Here is a 14,049-nt window from a genome sequence, read left to right as displayed (position 1 = left end):
CGAGAATTCGTCTCCAAAAAAAAAAAAAAAGGATAACAAAATGGATTTTAGGGGCTTTTTCTTTAAAATAAATAAATAAAGACACCTTTGGGGTCAAGTATACTTAGTCTTAAATCCTGGCTTCACTGCTTGCTAGCAATATAGCTTAGGACTTATTGCCTCATGTGTGCAATGGGGATAATACCACCAACCTCATATGGTTAAATAAGGTAGTACATGTAATTGCACAGCACACTGGCACACTACCTGACACATGGTAAACAGTAGCAGGATCAAATGGGAGAATGTATAATTGCCCAGTGGCAGTAAGACAAGAAACCCTTATTCGTGTTTTTACTTCTCAAATATCCTGCTTCCCCACATGTTTAAGAGATGCCTAATCCCATTTCTTAAAATTGAGAAAATGATCTTATTAACCAAGTTTCAGTAAGTACTGGAATCAAATGGCATAGTGTATAATTAGGATTATATGCTATGAATAACTTTACTTTGAAAAACTAATTTCTTGTGTCTTTATTCATAAAAGTTTGTCCTTCTTAAAAATTCATTCATGGGTATTTTAAACAAACTGAAGACTAGGGAGTCCCTAAAAGTCCCTAAAAGCCAGACCTACCTCCTGAAAGCTGGGAAAACAGAAGTTTTTTTTATCCAAAATGATGTAACAAAGTAAAAGTAGTATATTAACTACTTTAAAAACTTGATGCTTTTTCTGTCTTTCCTTCTACCTCACTGAGTTTATTTTAAAGAGTTTTTATGAAAATGTTTAAAATAATTATGAGAGAAATTATTTTAAAATATACTAAAAAGGCAATTAAAATTTTCTCTGCATAGATACATAGATAAATGCATAGATACATGCATAAATGCTACTAGCTTAACTATATAATTTTTTAATATAGGTAACAAAGTTTTTATTTATCATGAGATCTGAAATTACAACTTATAATTAAAGTGGTCATTAATAATGCTAATGTTAATGATTTTAAATACTGTTTATAGGTTCTAAATGATATATAATTTACATTTTTAAATTACTGTCATCCTTATTCTGTTTTAAAATACAGGAGCTTTTAAGAAGAATTGGCATTAATGCTGCCCTTAAGAATGTTTTTCATCCTTAATTTTCCAAGGAATGAAAAATGCAGGATAGAAAATTGGTTGGATGTCCTTTGTTTTTTGCTCTTCACTTAAAGATAACATCATTCTCTTTATCTCTGCAAAATAATCACAAATACATGACTTATAACATAGTTTCTTCTTTTCACAGCCTCAGCGTTTACTTGCCTGGTAACAGCATTGGAATATTACAGATTCTGGAAGTACACTTAATGCTCGAATTGCTGCAACTATTGGCTTCTTAGAACACTAAACCAGGAGGGATTTACTTTGAATATTATCAGTTGCAGCAAAGACTTACCACACAAGATTATGCAAAGCATATAACGGACTAAAAGAGGAAGTGTTTTAGAATGGGAAGACATATTTTGTCTTTATTGTGTGCACATATGTCTTTATTATACTGAAAAAAGCTGTCATTCAAACCTGATTTGAGATAGAAGGGCATTTTTCCTTTCCTCTTGATAATTCATAGAAATTGAACCAGTTTTCTTGTGTTTGCTTGAACGACTGTGTAAATTATACAGGATTTTGTTGGTACAGGGTGCATATTTGAAAACTATTCCCTATTATTGAGTTAACTTTCTTGATAACCACTGCTTAATTACATTTTTTTTTTTCTTTTGAGACAAAGTTTTGCTCTTGTTGCCCAGGCTGGAGTGCAATGGTGTGGTCTCAGCTCAGTGCAACCTTGGCCTCCTGGGTTCAAGGGATTCTCCTGCCTCAGCCTCCCGAATAGCTGGGATTACAGGGGCCCACCACCACACCCGGCTAATTTTTTGTGTTTTTACTATGGATGGGGTTTCACCTTGTTGGCCAGGCTAGTCTCGATCAGCCCACCTCGGCCTCCCAAAGTGCTGGATGCAAATGTGGCTGGGTGCAGTGGCTCACGCCTGTAATCCCAGCACTTTGGGAGGCCAAGGTGGGTGGATCATCAGAGGTCAGGAGTTCGAGACCAGCCTGGACAACATAGTGGAACCCCATCTCTGCTAAAAATACAAAAAATTAGCCAGACGTGGTGGCAGGCACCTGTAATCTCAGTTACCCAGGAGGCTGAGGCAGGAGAATTGCTTGTACCCAAGAGGCAGAGGTTGCACTGAGCCGAGACCACACCATTGCACTCCAGCCTGGGCAACAAGAGCAAAACTCTATCTCAAAATAAATAAATAAATAAAAGATTATTATAACAAAAAAGAAAAGAAAAAGAAAGAATAATATACATATTTTTTTGAAACAGAGTCTCACTCTGTCACCCAGGCTGGAGTAAAGTGGCATGATAGCAGCTCACTGCAACCTCCAACCTCCACCTCCCAAGTTCAAGTAATTCTCGTTCCTCAGCACCCCAGGTAGTTGGGATTACAGGCATGCGGCACCAGGCCCAGCTAATTTTTTTTTTTGTATTTTTAGTAAAGATAGGGTTTCACCATGTTGGCCAGGCTAGCCTCAAACTCCTGGGCTCAACTGATCCGCCTGCCTCAGCGTCCCAAAGTGCTGGGATTAGAGACATGAGCCACAGCACCCAACCAAGAAAGAATACTTGTAATAACCATAAGGGACGTATCATACAATAGGTACACAGAGAAATAAACTGTTATACATGTCATGTATGACTTCTCTGCCCTGTAGGATAATTATTATTCTGATAGTAATACAAATCTTAATACCAAAAACAGGTAATCAGAAGTTAAAAAGAACTTATGCAACAAGAAACTCACCTTTGCATTATTATGGTTCTCAGGGCTAGAATGACATGAAGTTTGCTGCTGAAATGATGGAGATGGGGAGGAGGAGGAAGATGGTTGTCTCTGGTCCTCTTTTTTTCGCTCATATACTCGAACTCGAGCACAAGTCATCATACTTTCAAAGTACAAGTAGACTGGATCTTTGTCCTCTTCCCGAATCTGTAAATTTCATACAACAAAATATTCCATACAGTGGGAAAAACTCCGCTAGACTCCAAAACAAAACGAATGTTTAATCTTTTTTTGTATTACAACAGTCGAAATTTTTTAATGCAAACTTTCAAATCAAACAGCACAAGTACAGTTCATATGTGCCGAACCTTAGGGCAGTCAGAAAGGATCCAGTTCTCTATCAGGAAATTTCAGATCATACCAGAGCAGTGCATTTCAAATTATCTATGGTGAAGGATACATTGTTAATTACCAGTCCATCATAGACTGATACTTTAGTAAATACAATAAATTACTAGAAAAACTAAAAACATATAAAATGCAAGGTTTTTAAATATTAGATTCAGCTAATCAACTTGCTGTAGAAATTTCTAAATATTTACTCTTATTTTCTATCCAGCTGACCCCTGAATAACACAGGTTTGAACTGTGTGGGTCCACTCACATATGGATTTTCTTCCACCTCTGTCACCAAGACAGTAAAATCAACTCTTCCTGTTCCTCCTCAGACTACTCCATGTGAAGATAGTATGAAGACCTTTATGATGATCCACTAATGAATAGTAACAACATTTTCTTTCCCTTATTATTTTCTTAGTAACATTTTCTTTTCTATAGCTCATTTTATTGTAAGAATACAGTATATACTACATATAACAAAAATGTGTTGACTGTTTATGTTATTGGTAAGGCTTCTAGTCAACAGTACACTATTAAGAGTTCAGTTTTGGGGGAGTTGAAAATTATATGCAGAATTTGGACTGCGTGGAGATCAGCGGCCCTAACCCTTGCCTTTTTCAGGTTTTGTTGTTGTTGTTTTTGAGATGGAGTCTTGCTCTGTCATCCAGGCTGGAATGCAGTGGAGCAATCTCGGCTCACCACAACCTCCGCCTCCCAGGTTCAAGTGATTCTCCTGCCTCAGCCTACCGAGTAGCTGGGATTATAGGCATGAGCCACCACGCCCGGCTAATTTTTCTTATTTTTAGTAGAGGCGGGGTTTCACCATGTTGGCCAGGCTGGTGTCGAACTCCTGACCTCAGATCATCCACCCGCCTCAGCCTCCCAAAGTGCTGGGATTACAAGCGTGAGCCACCGCGCCCGGCCCACCCTTGCTTATTTCATCACAGACCAGAAACAGTTTTATACTATAATAGCTCTGCTACAAAGAACATATTCAGTAGCATCGTAGTATAGGATTTTTCTTCAATCTAATGGACTAGGAGGACACATGGATTTGATAATAAGACTTGCTTAAGCCATTAACACAATGAATAACTTCCTACTTTTACCTACCAGTCTTCAGTCATATTATATCAACTGTTACTTTAAATCTTAAACTTTACTGATATTATTATGCATTTTTAAATTTGCTTTTAAAAGCTTTTAAAAGCTTTTTCCTAATGTTTTTCTACTAATAATATATACTGCTTATATTGATTACTAATATTCTACAATACAGGAGTAGTATCTTTAAAAAACTTTTTCCAAGCCATGTAAAAAAGCCTATGTTTCTATGATCTTCTTGAAGATGGTTATTTTTTAAAATTACTACTACTCATTTCTACTTTTAAGACATTTTTAAAGTGCCAGCACTAAACTGATTAAACCAGAAAGGAAGATATCTTATAAACATATTACTGAAAGCAAAATGATTCACAAAATATCAACCAAAAATCTGCTTGAAACACACCATCTTTACACATGACTTTGGTAACTTGTAATAAAAGATTAAATTCCAGACTTACCACAGGATTGGGTTTGGGAGTATATGACCGTGGAGATTTAATTCCAGTGAGCAGTTTGCCCTTCACAGTAGGAGATAAAACTTCTGGCTGAGGCAATAACAATGGTTTCATAGGCTCAATGACAGAAGGCGTGGGGATATAAACTGGTTCTGGATCTACTTCACCTTCTACTTTTACCCATAATGGGTAATGTCGAACAGGCTGTTCAGGCTCTGTCTCACATATAGCTTAACAAAAAAGAAGGGTAAGGTTTTAGGTACTTTTGGCAACAAAAGATCAATACTGAGGCACTGCCAAAACAAAATACGCTCCCTCACAAAAGGCAGTAACTCGTTAAAATAATCAAATAGACGACCCCCTCCCCAAACAAAGGGCATTTAGTGGTATTTATATACTTTCATTTATTCATCTTTAAATATTTATTGAACACCAGCTATCAACCAGATACTGTTTTAGGCATTAGAATGAACACAGCTATGAATAAAACAAAGTTCTTGCCCTCAGAGTTTAAAATCCAGTAGGGGAAGACAAACCCATAAATATATAATATCAAGTAATGGTAAGCCATGTAGAAAAACACAGCAAGGTAATTAAGGAATGAAGAATTAAAACAAGAGTTGCCATTATATTTAGGGTCAGAGAAGACCTTACTGAAAAAAAATTTTTTTTTTTTTTTTTGAGACAGAGTCTTGTTCTGTCACCTAGGGTGGAGTGCAATGGCGCAATCTTGGCTCATGGCAACCTCTGCCTCCCATGTTCAGGAGATTCTCATGCCTCAGCCACCTGAGTAGCTGGGATTACAGGTATATGCCACCACACCTGGCTAATTTTTATATTTTTGGTAGAGATGGGGTTTTGTCATGTTGGCCAGGCTGGTCTCGAACTCCTGGCCTCAAGTGATCCACCCAACCTTGGCCTCCCACAGTGCCAGATTACAGTTGTGAGCCACCATGCCTAGTCAAAAAGATAACTTTTAACCACACTTTATTTCCTAAATAATAACAACAAACATTTACTGAACCTTATTATTCAATAGTTCTAAGCATTGTTCTAAGCACCTGTGCTAAGCACTTCATGTGTTTTAACTCCAACAACTCCTGAGGTAGGTATCATTCCCATGGTACAGAAGCTGAGGTGCAGGGATGTCCAACCAGTGAGAGGCAGGGATGTCCAACCAGTAAGAGGCAGAACCAGAATCAAACCCTGTCTATCTGGCTCCAGAGACCAAGCTGTCACTACTGCATTCTAATAACAAATTGTAATCAAAAGACAGCCTGAACTCAGTACAGGAGTAAAAACACTTATATCAATATAGACGCAATGAAACCCAACTGAGGTAAAATCATACTATCAAGAAGTTCTGTATGCCATTCTACAATTTACATCAAAATGTCATGTTATAGACCAATATATGCATTTTTACTTGTTAATAAATAATCCCCCAAAAAATGTGCACAAAGGAAAATATGCATTGATTACTTAACTAAATTAAAAAGAAGATCTAGGTTAAGAGGCTCCTGGGTTTACTTATTTATTTATTTATTTATTTATTTTTTTTTTTTTTTTTTTTTTGAGACGGAGTCTCGCTCTGTCGCCCAGGCTGGAGTGCAGTGGCGGGATCTCGGCTCACTGCAAGCTCCGCCTCCCGGGTTCACGCCATTCTCCTGCCTCAGCCTCCCAAGTAGCTGGGACTACAGGCGCCCGCCACTACGCCCGGCTAATTTTTTGTATTTTTAGTAGAGACGGGGTTTCACCGTTTTTTAGCCGGGATGGTCTCGATCTCCTGACCTCGTGATCCGCCCGCCTCGGCCTCCCAAAGTGCTGGGATTACAGGCGTGAGCCACCGCGCCCGGCCCTACTTATTTATTTTTTTAAGAGTACAAGTCTCACTCTGTTGCCCAAGTAGTGGCACAATCATGGCTCACTGTAGCCTCCTGGCTAAAGTGATCTTCCTGCCTCAGGCTCCCAAGTAGCTAGGTCTACAGGTACATGCCACCATGCCTGCATAGGTCTTTAAAAATAAATTTTAGGTCTTTAAAAAAAGGTTTAGTTGTTAAGAGTTAATTAAAGGTAATATAAAGAAAAAAAATTTTCTTTTTAGAGACCAGGTCTCACTATGTTACCCAGGCCTGTTTTGAACTCCTGGCCTCATGCAATCCTGCGGCCTCAGCCTCCTGAGTCACTGGGATTACAGGCATGAGCTACTACGCCCAGCACTACTGGTTTTATTCTTTAAGTAAACTGCCCATTCCCATAAAGCAGCCGTAGTGAAGTAAATGTATTTCTGCATTTTAATGGTTAGTCCTCACAGAGGACATGTAGCTGGTTCAAAGCCAAAGACCCAAAAACTTTCACCTAGAGTCACATAAAATATGACTGAGTGGCATTCATACTTAATTCAAATACTTACTTCAATTAATCTTTCATGACAAAGCAGAATCTAAGCTGCTACCTGATTTTCGTAAGTAGTATATTTGCTCTGAACATTAATAACAACTGGTAAAGAACAACTTTGTCTAAGGGGCTCCTGAGGTAAACATACGGGCACAATCACAAAATTTGAATAAAGGTTTAAAAATTAAAAAGGGGGTGGGAGGTGGGGACAACAAAGCTAGAAAGTGATTGAGTCAATTAGCCAGCTGCAGTCTCTGTCAACTACCTTTTAAAATTTAGCTCCTTTATAACATAATTCACCAATGTTTCTGGTTGTTTTTTATTTTGAGACAGAATTTGAGACTCTGTCACCCAGGCTGGAGTGTACTGGCACCACCATGGCTCTCCATAGCCCTGGCCTCCCTGACTCAAGAGATCATCTCACTGCCTCATCTTATAGCTGAGACTACAAGCACACACCACTTGGCTAATTTTTTAATTTTAACTTTTTTATAGAGATGGCACAAAGGTTTCTAGACACCAATATTCATTTATGCATTCAAATATTTGAATTTCTACTACGTATCAGACTTTGCAGATACAACAATGAATAAAACTGACAAAAATCCTTGCTTTCAGGTAGCTTTTGGGGGGAAGTAAGATGAGACAGGCAATATGATGAATACGGAAAATGTGTTGGAATATGGTTAGGTACTTAAGAGAAAAAACAGGAAAGGAAATAGGTAGCATGTGTAGTAAGTATGTACAAGTATGTCTTTTGAGGCTTGCCCTCCCAGTGAAGGTGGTATTAAGAGGTTCTACCACACATTTAATAAAAACTTTCTTGTTCAGTGTAGCTAATTATTTTGTACACGCATTAATTATAAGACAAAAACAAAAGCACCTTTAGGGCAAGCAAGACATCTTGGACTTCTATCAATAATCTTTTAAGGATTTTCTAAGCCTCCATAAACTAAGCATTATACTAAGCAAAGGTCCCTTTTCATCTTTTCCTTTTGAAATAATAGCTACAAAATACACAGTACAGTACTTCAAAAAAAAAAAAAACTCTTAAGATACCAAGAATGATTATTCATATTTCTCTTAATATCTCACAGGCAATCAAAGACAATTTTAAAATTTCAACTGTGAATAAGTAGGAAATGGTTAATCTGTCACCAGAATGGGAAAAAATGAGAAATGGAGCTTCCAATAAATAGGGGAGTTCATAAAAGGATTTGACTGAGAGGGGTAGAGTTCAGTTCTGTTTATGACATGTTTTAAATTGGAAGGACAACAACATACTAAAAATGGGGTAGGGAGCCAGATGCAGTAGCTCACACCTATAATCCCAATACAGATGCCAAGGTGGGAGGATCTCTTGAGGCCAGGAGCCCAAAACCAGCCTGGGCAACATAGCAAGACCCTGTCTCTACAGAATATAAAAAGCTTTAGCTGGGCATGGTGGCATGTACCTGTAGTCCTAGCTACTCCAGAGGCTAAGACGGAAGGACCGCTTGAGCCAGGGAGATCAAGGATATAGTTAGCTATGATCAAGACACAGCACTCCAGCCTGGGTGACAGAGCAAGACCCTCTCTCTCAAAAATATATGTAAATAAATAAAATAGCATGGGAATTAAAAACCAGGACCATCATTGGCAGAGACTAGTAGAATTGAAGCCATGAAAACAGGCTCCCTACAAAGGCAAGAACAAAATACTGATCCCTCACACTCACTGGCCCACTGTTCACTTGATTCCTTTATACAGCCTGGGATCCAAGATACAGCACCTCTTTATTTCCCCTTATAATGACACTAGAGATTCTCCTACTCTTTCCCTGAAACTCAGGAAAAAAAAAGAACAACACTCAGCAGGAAAAGGTGGAATTAAGGGGAGAAGCTGAGTAGCACATATTCATTGACAGGAGCCAAGAATAGAAATCAGTTTTAACAAAGAAATGGTCTCCTCATTTCTACTGAAATGCCTCCTAATATATATTACCCAAGTCCCCTAGCTTTATCACTCTGTCTTCTGGCTTCTCAGTAAGCCTTTTGTTCATGACACTTAAAACATTACAGGAATTCAGTTACTCGTGGGACTTAAAATTACAATAAATATGTATCTTTTCACCACATACCTGTTTTATCAAATTGACAGTAACCTCTTAGAGCGATGGACTTGTTTTAATTGCCTATATTCTACCTCCTCACTCCTAGCAGTGTCCATAGTAGTTGCACCATAAATGAAAAGCATTACACTTAGAAGACCTACAAGAACTGCCATGCTAATACAGCACACTAACACACCATGCTCCTCTTCCTCTGATTTTTGTAGGCATTTTGGATCTCTTTATAATGAAATATAGCATTTATAAAGAAATGTACATAAACAGTATACAGCTCAATACATATTAAGAACTATACATCCATGTAAACACCATACAAGAAATAGAACAGTGCTATCAATTCCAGAACCCTTTCTCAATCACAATCCCTCCCCTTCCTATAAAAAAGGCACTTAAATGATAGCTACCTCTTTGCTTTCCTTTTTTGAATGTCAAAGTATAACACCTAAATATCATACCTTAATTTTGCCTACTTTAGACCGGGCACACTGGCTCACACCTGCAATCCCAGCACTTTGGGAGGCCGAGGCAGGCGGATCACGAGGTCAGCAGATTGAGACCATCTTGGCTAACATGGTGAAACCCCGTTTCTACTAAAAATACAAAAAATTAGCCGGGTGTGGTGGCGGGCGCCTGTAGTCCCAGCTACTCGGGAGGCTGAGGCAGGAGAATGGTGTGAACCCGGGAGGCGGAGTTTGCAGTGAGCCGAGGTCGCACCACTGCACTCCAGCCTGGGCGAGAGAGCAAGACTCCGTCTCAAAAAAAAAAAAAAAAAAAAAAAAATTGGCCTACTTTAAAAGTTTATATTAATGGAATCAAAGATACATTCTTTTACCTGGCGTTTTTCCCCTTCAACATTATATTTGTAAAATTCATCTATGCTGAAACACACAGTTGTAATTCATTTATTTTCACTGTGGTATGTTATTTCACTGAATATTCATACTACTGTTTATTCTTCTATTGTTATTAGACATTTGGGGTTGTTTTCAGGTTTTAAATACTGTGAGAATCATGTAAATATTCTTATATAATACAGTTCTGCTTGTTACTCTGGAGTCAAACTGCTAGATCAAGGGCTATGAATCTTCAACTTCAGTAGATACTGCCCAACTATTTTCCAAAGCGGTTACACCTATTTATTTCCCCATCAGCAGTGTAGGAGATTTCCCATTGTTCATTGTCTTTATCAATAGTTGGTATTAGTAGAGGCTTGTAATGATAACCATTCTGGCAGGTGTCTAGTAGAATCTCATCATGGATTTAATTTGGATTTCCCCAACTACAAATGAGCCATTCAACATTCCACTTTATGAAATGCTTCTAAAACTCTTGCTCATTTTTTCTACAGGAGTGTTTATTATTAATTTGTAGACACCTTTATATATTTTGGATATAGGTCCTTAGATATTACAAATATCTGCTTTTATTTATTTTTGAGACAGAGTCTCGTTCTATCTCCCAGGCTGGAGTGCAGTGGCACAATCTCGGCTCACTGCAACCTCCATCTCCCAGGTTCAAGCGATTTTTGTGCCTCAGCCTCCTGAGTAGCTGGGATTAGAGGCACACCCTATCACACCTGGCTAATTTTTGTATTTTTGGTAGAGATGGGGTTTCACCATGTTGGCCAGGCTGGTCTCGAATTCCTGACCACAAGTAATCCACCCACCTCAGCCTCCCAAAGTGCTGGAATCACAGGCGTGAGACACCGTGCCCAGCCTCTGAATTTCTTATTTTAAAGTTGTCAAATGGCTTGATCTTTTCCCTAAGAATTGGTTTTCTTCTGTCATGTTTAAGAAATTTTTTCCTAATATGAGATCCTGTATACATTTGCCTGTATCTTCTAAATGCTGTATTGTTTAGTCATTGAAAATTAGGTGTATAACGTACCTACAAATTATTTCCATATATGGTGTGAGAAACGAATAAAGTTTCTATTTTTCCCATACGGATGTACAATAATCCTATCACCATTTGGTGAAAAGATCATTCTTTCTTTATTTCTTCGCCACTTCTGTCAAATCAAGAGTCCATTTATGTTTGAATCTGTTTACAGTATTATTTTATTTTATTTTATTTTGAGACAGAGTCTCACTTTGTCGTCCAGTGCAACAGTGCAATCTCGGCTCACTGCAACCTCAGCTTCCCGGGTTCAAGAGATTCTCGTGGCTCAGCCTCCAGAGTAGCTGGGATTACAGGCGCACACCACCATGCCCGGCTAATTTTTTGTATTTTTAGTAGAGACGGGGTTTCGCCATGTTGCACAGGCTGGTTTCGAACTCCTGAGCTCAGGCAATCTGCCCACCTCGGCCTCTCAAAGTGCTAGGATTACAGGTGTAAGCCATCGCGTCTGGCCTTAGTTTTTATTTTTGAGACAACATCTCACTCTGTCACCCAGGCTGGAGTGCAGTGGCACTATCACGGCTCACTGCAGGCTCAACCTCCTGGCCATACTTTTGCCTCAGCCTACTGCACAGCTGGGACAACAGGCCTGAGCCACCATGCCATCAGCCAAAATTTTTTTTATTTTTAGTAGAGATGGAAGTATTGCTATGTTGCTCAGGCAGGTCTCGAACTCCTGGGCTCAAGCGATCCTCCTGCCTTGGCCCCACAAAGTGCTGGGATGACAAGGCATGAGCCACAGCACCCAGCCTGTAGCCTCTCTATTCTGTTCTACTTGTCTATTCATTTTATGACAAGCCAATATCACCCATATCACGTGGTAATTTTGTAACTCTTGACATACAATAAAATCCTTCCATTCTGCCACTGTTCTTCAAGATTGACCTGGTTATTTCTAGATTCTTCGCATTTCCATATAAATTATAAGTTCTGCTTTTCATGTTTCACATAAAAAGCTATCAGAGTTTTGATTAGGACTGAAATAAGATTACAGATGAAAGTGAGAAGCAGCATTTTTCCGAGGTTCACTTGCTAAGTTATTTTTTAAATAAAAAATGTTGAATTTTTATCAATTTAACCATATTCATTAATTCATTAATATCATAATCTCATTTAATCCGTTATACAGCAAATTACATAAATATTCATATCTAAATCAAATTTCTACCCCTAATCACTAATATGTATTTTATACATATGGACATATTTACTAATTACAACATATGATGTCACCATAATATAGAACATTAATTTTTTTTTTGAGACAGGGTCTCACTCTGTCACCCAGACTGGAGATGCAGTGGCATAATTTCAGTTCACTGCAACCTCTGCCTCCCAGGCTCAAGTGATCCTCCCACCTCAGCCCCCCAAGTAGCTCGGACTACAGGTGCATACCACCACACCAGGCTAATTTTTTGTATTTTTGGTAGAGACAGGGTTTCGCCATGTTGCCCAGGCTGGTCATGAACTCCTGAGCTCAGATGATTCACTAGTCTCGGCCTCCTGAAGTGCTGGGATTACAGGCATGAGCCACCACGTGTGGCCAGGTACATTCTTTATCAAAGTTGTTTGGACTATTCTAAGTCCTCTGTTTTTCATAAAAATTTTAGAAACTTGCCAATTTCTATCCCCCAGAAGCCTGTTAGGATTTTGATTGGAATAGCATCAGCAGATCTATAGGCCAATTTGTGAAAAGTATCTTACCAAGAGTGTCTTCTGATAAATGAAAACAATATATTTTTCCATTTATTTAGGCCTCTTAAAATCACTCTCAGCAATATCTTATAGTTTTTAGTATATAGGTTTTAGGCATCTTTTATCAAAGTTATCCTTAAGTGTCTCTTCTCGTTGGATGCTATTTTAAATGGTATTTTTTTAATCTCAACTTATCTCAATTTCCAATTGTTCATTGCTTATATGTACAAACATGTTGCATACTGATAATGTATGCTGCAACCTCATTAAACTGACTTACAGTTCTAGTAGCTTATTTTGTAGATTCCCTAGGATTTTCCTATCCATGAATAAAGCCAATTTTTACTTCTTCCTTTCCAATCTGGATACCTCTCTCTTTATCATGCCCTTACTGCACTGGCTAGGACCTCCTGTACATAACGTTAAACAGAAGTGGTAAAAATGGGCATTCTTCCTCATTCCCAGTCTTTGGGAGAGAACAATAAGTCTTTTATCATTAATATGTCAATTGTAATATTTTTCAAAGATTATTTTATCCAGTTGAGAAAATTCCTTGCTATTCCTAGTGTGCTGAGAATTTTTACCAGAAATGAATTTTGTCAATCTTTCAAAAATATCTCTTAATCAGGTGGAGCTTGAACACACCAGAAATTTGTCATTGCCATCTCAACCAAAACTGGCATTAGCAATGTAAAAATCCCAAAACATCTTATTGATGCTCACTTCGAGAAGCAGTTGCAGAAGCCCAGACACCAGGAAGGTGAGATCTCTGACACAGAAAAAGAGAACTACAAGACTACAGAGCAGTGCAAGATTGATCAGAAAGCTGTGGACTCACAAATTGTACGAAAAATCAAAGCTATTCCTCAGCTCCAGGGCTACCTGCGATCTGTGTTTGCCCTGACGAATGGAATTTATCCTCACAAATTGGTGTTTTAAACTTCTTAAGAACCTAACTAAATAATACTATACATGTATATATATATGTATATATATATATATATATACACACACACACACACTACATATACACTACATATATCAAGATATCTATCTATATATAGTGAGATAGATATATATCTTGAGATGATAAATGTTGAATTTTTATCAATTTAACCACATTCACTAATATCATAAATGATCTCATTTAATCTGTTATATGGCAAATTACATAAAT

The 14,049-nt window shown here is 38.1% G+C and overlaps 1 protein-coding gene across 49 annotated transcripts in view; it reads right to left on the bottom strand.

The window, feature by feature from the left end:
• Nucleotides 1–14,049, bottom strand: part of MGA (MAX dimerization protein MGA) — a 148,717-nt gene that overhangs the window by 37,760 nt on the left and 96,908 nt on the right. For all 49 annotated transcript variants that reach the window (XM_017022029.3, XM_047432300.1, XM_047432302.1 and 46 more), the window contains 2 exons: nt 4,775–5,001; nt 2,832–3,017 (listed from right to left, as the gene is read on the bottom strand). In XM_017022029.3, the coding sequence (XP_016877518.1) occupies nt 2,832–3,017; nt 4,775–5,001 (413 nt within the window). The remainder of the gene's footprint in view (nt 1–2,831; nt 3,018–4,774; nt 5,002–14,049) is intronic.

The sequence above is a fragment of the Homo sapiens genome, chromosome 15 (assembly GCF_000001405.40).
Source record: "Homo sapiens chromosome 15, GRCh38.p14 Primary Assembly".
Classification (NCBI taxonomy): Eukaryota; Metazoa; Chordata; class Mammalia; order Primates; family Hominidae; genus Homo; species Homo sapiens.
The sequence above is the reverse complement of the archived record's forward strand: the minus strand, read 5'-3'. Positions and strand labels throughout refer to the sequence as shown.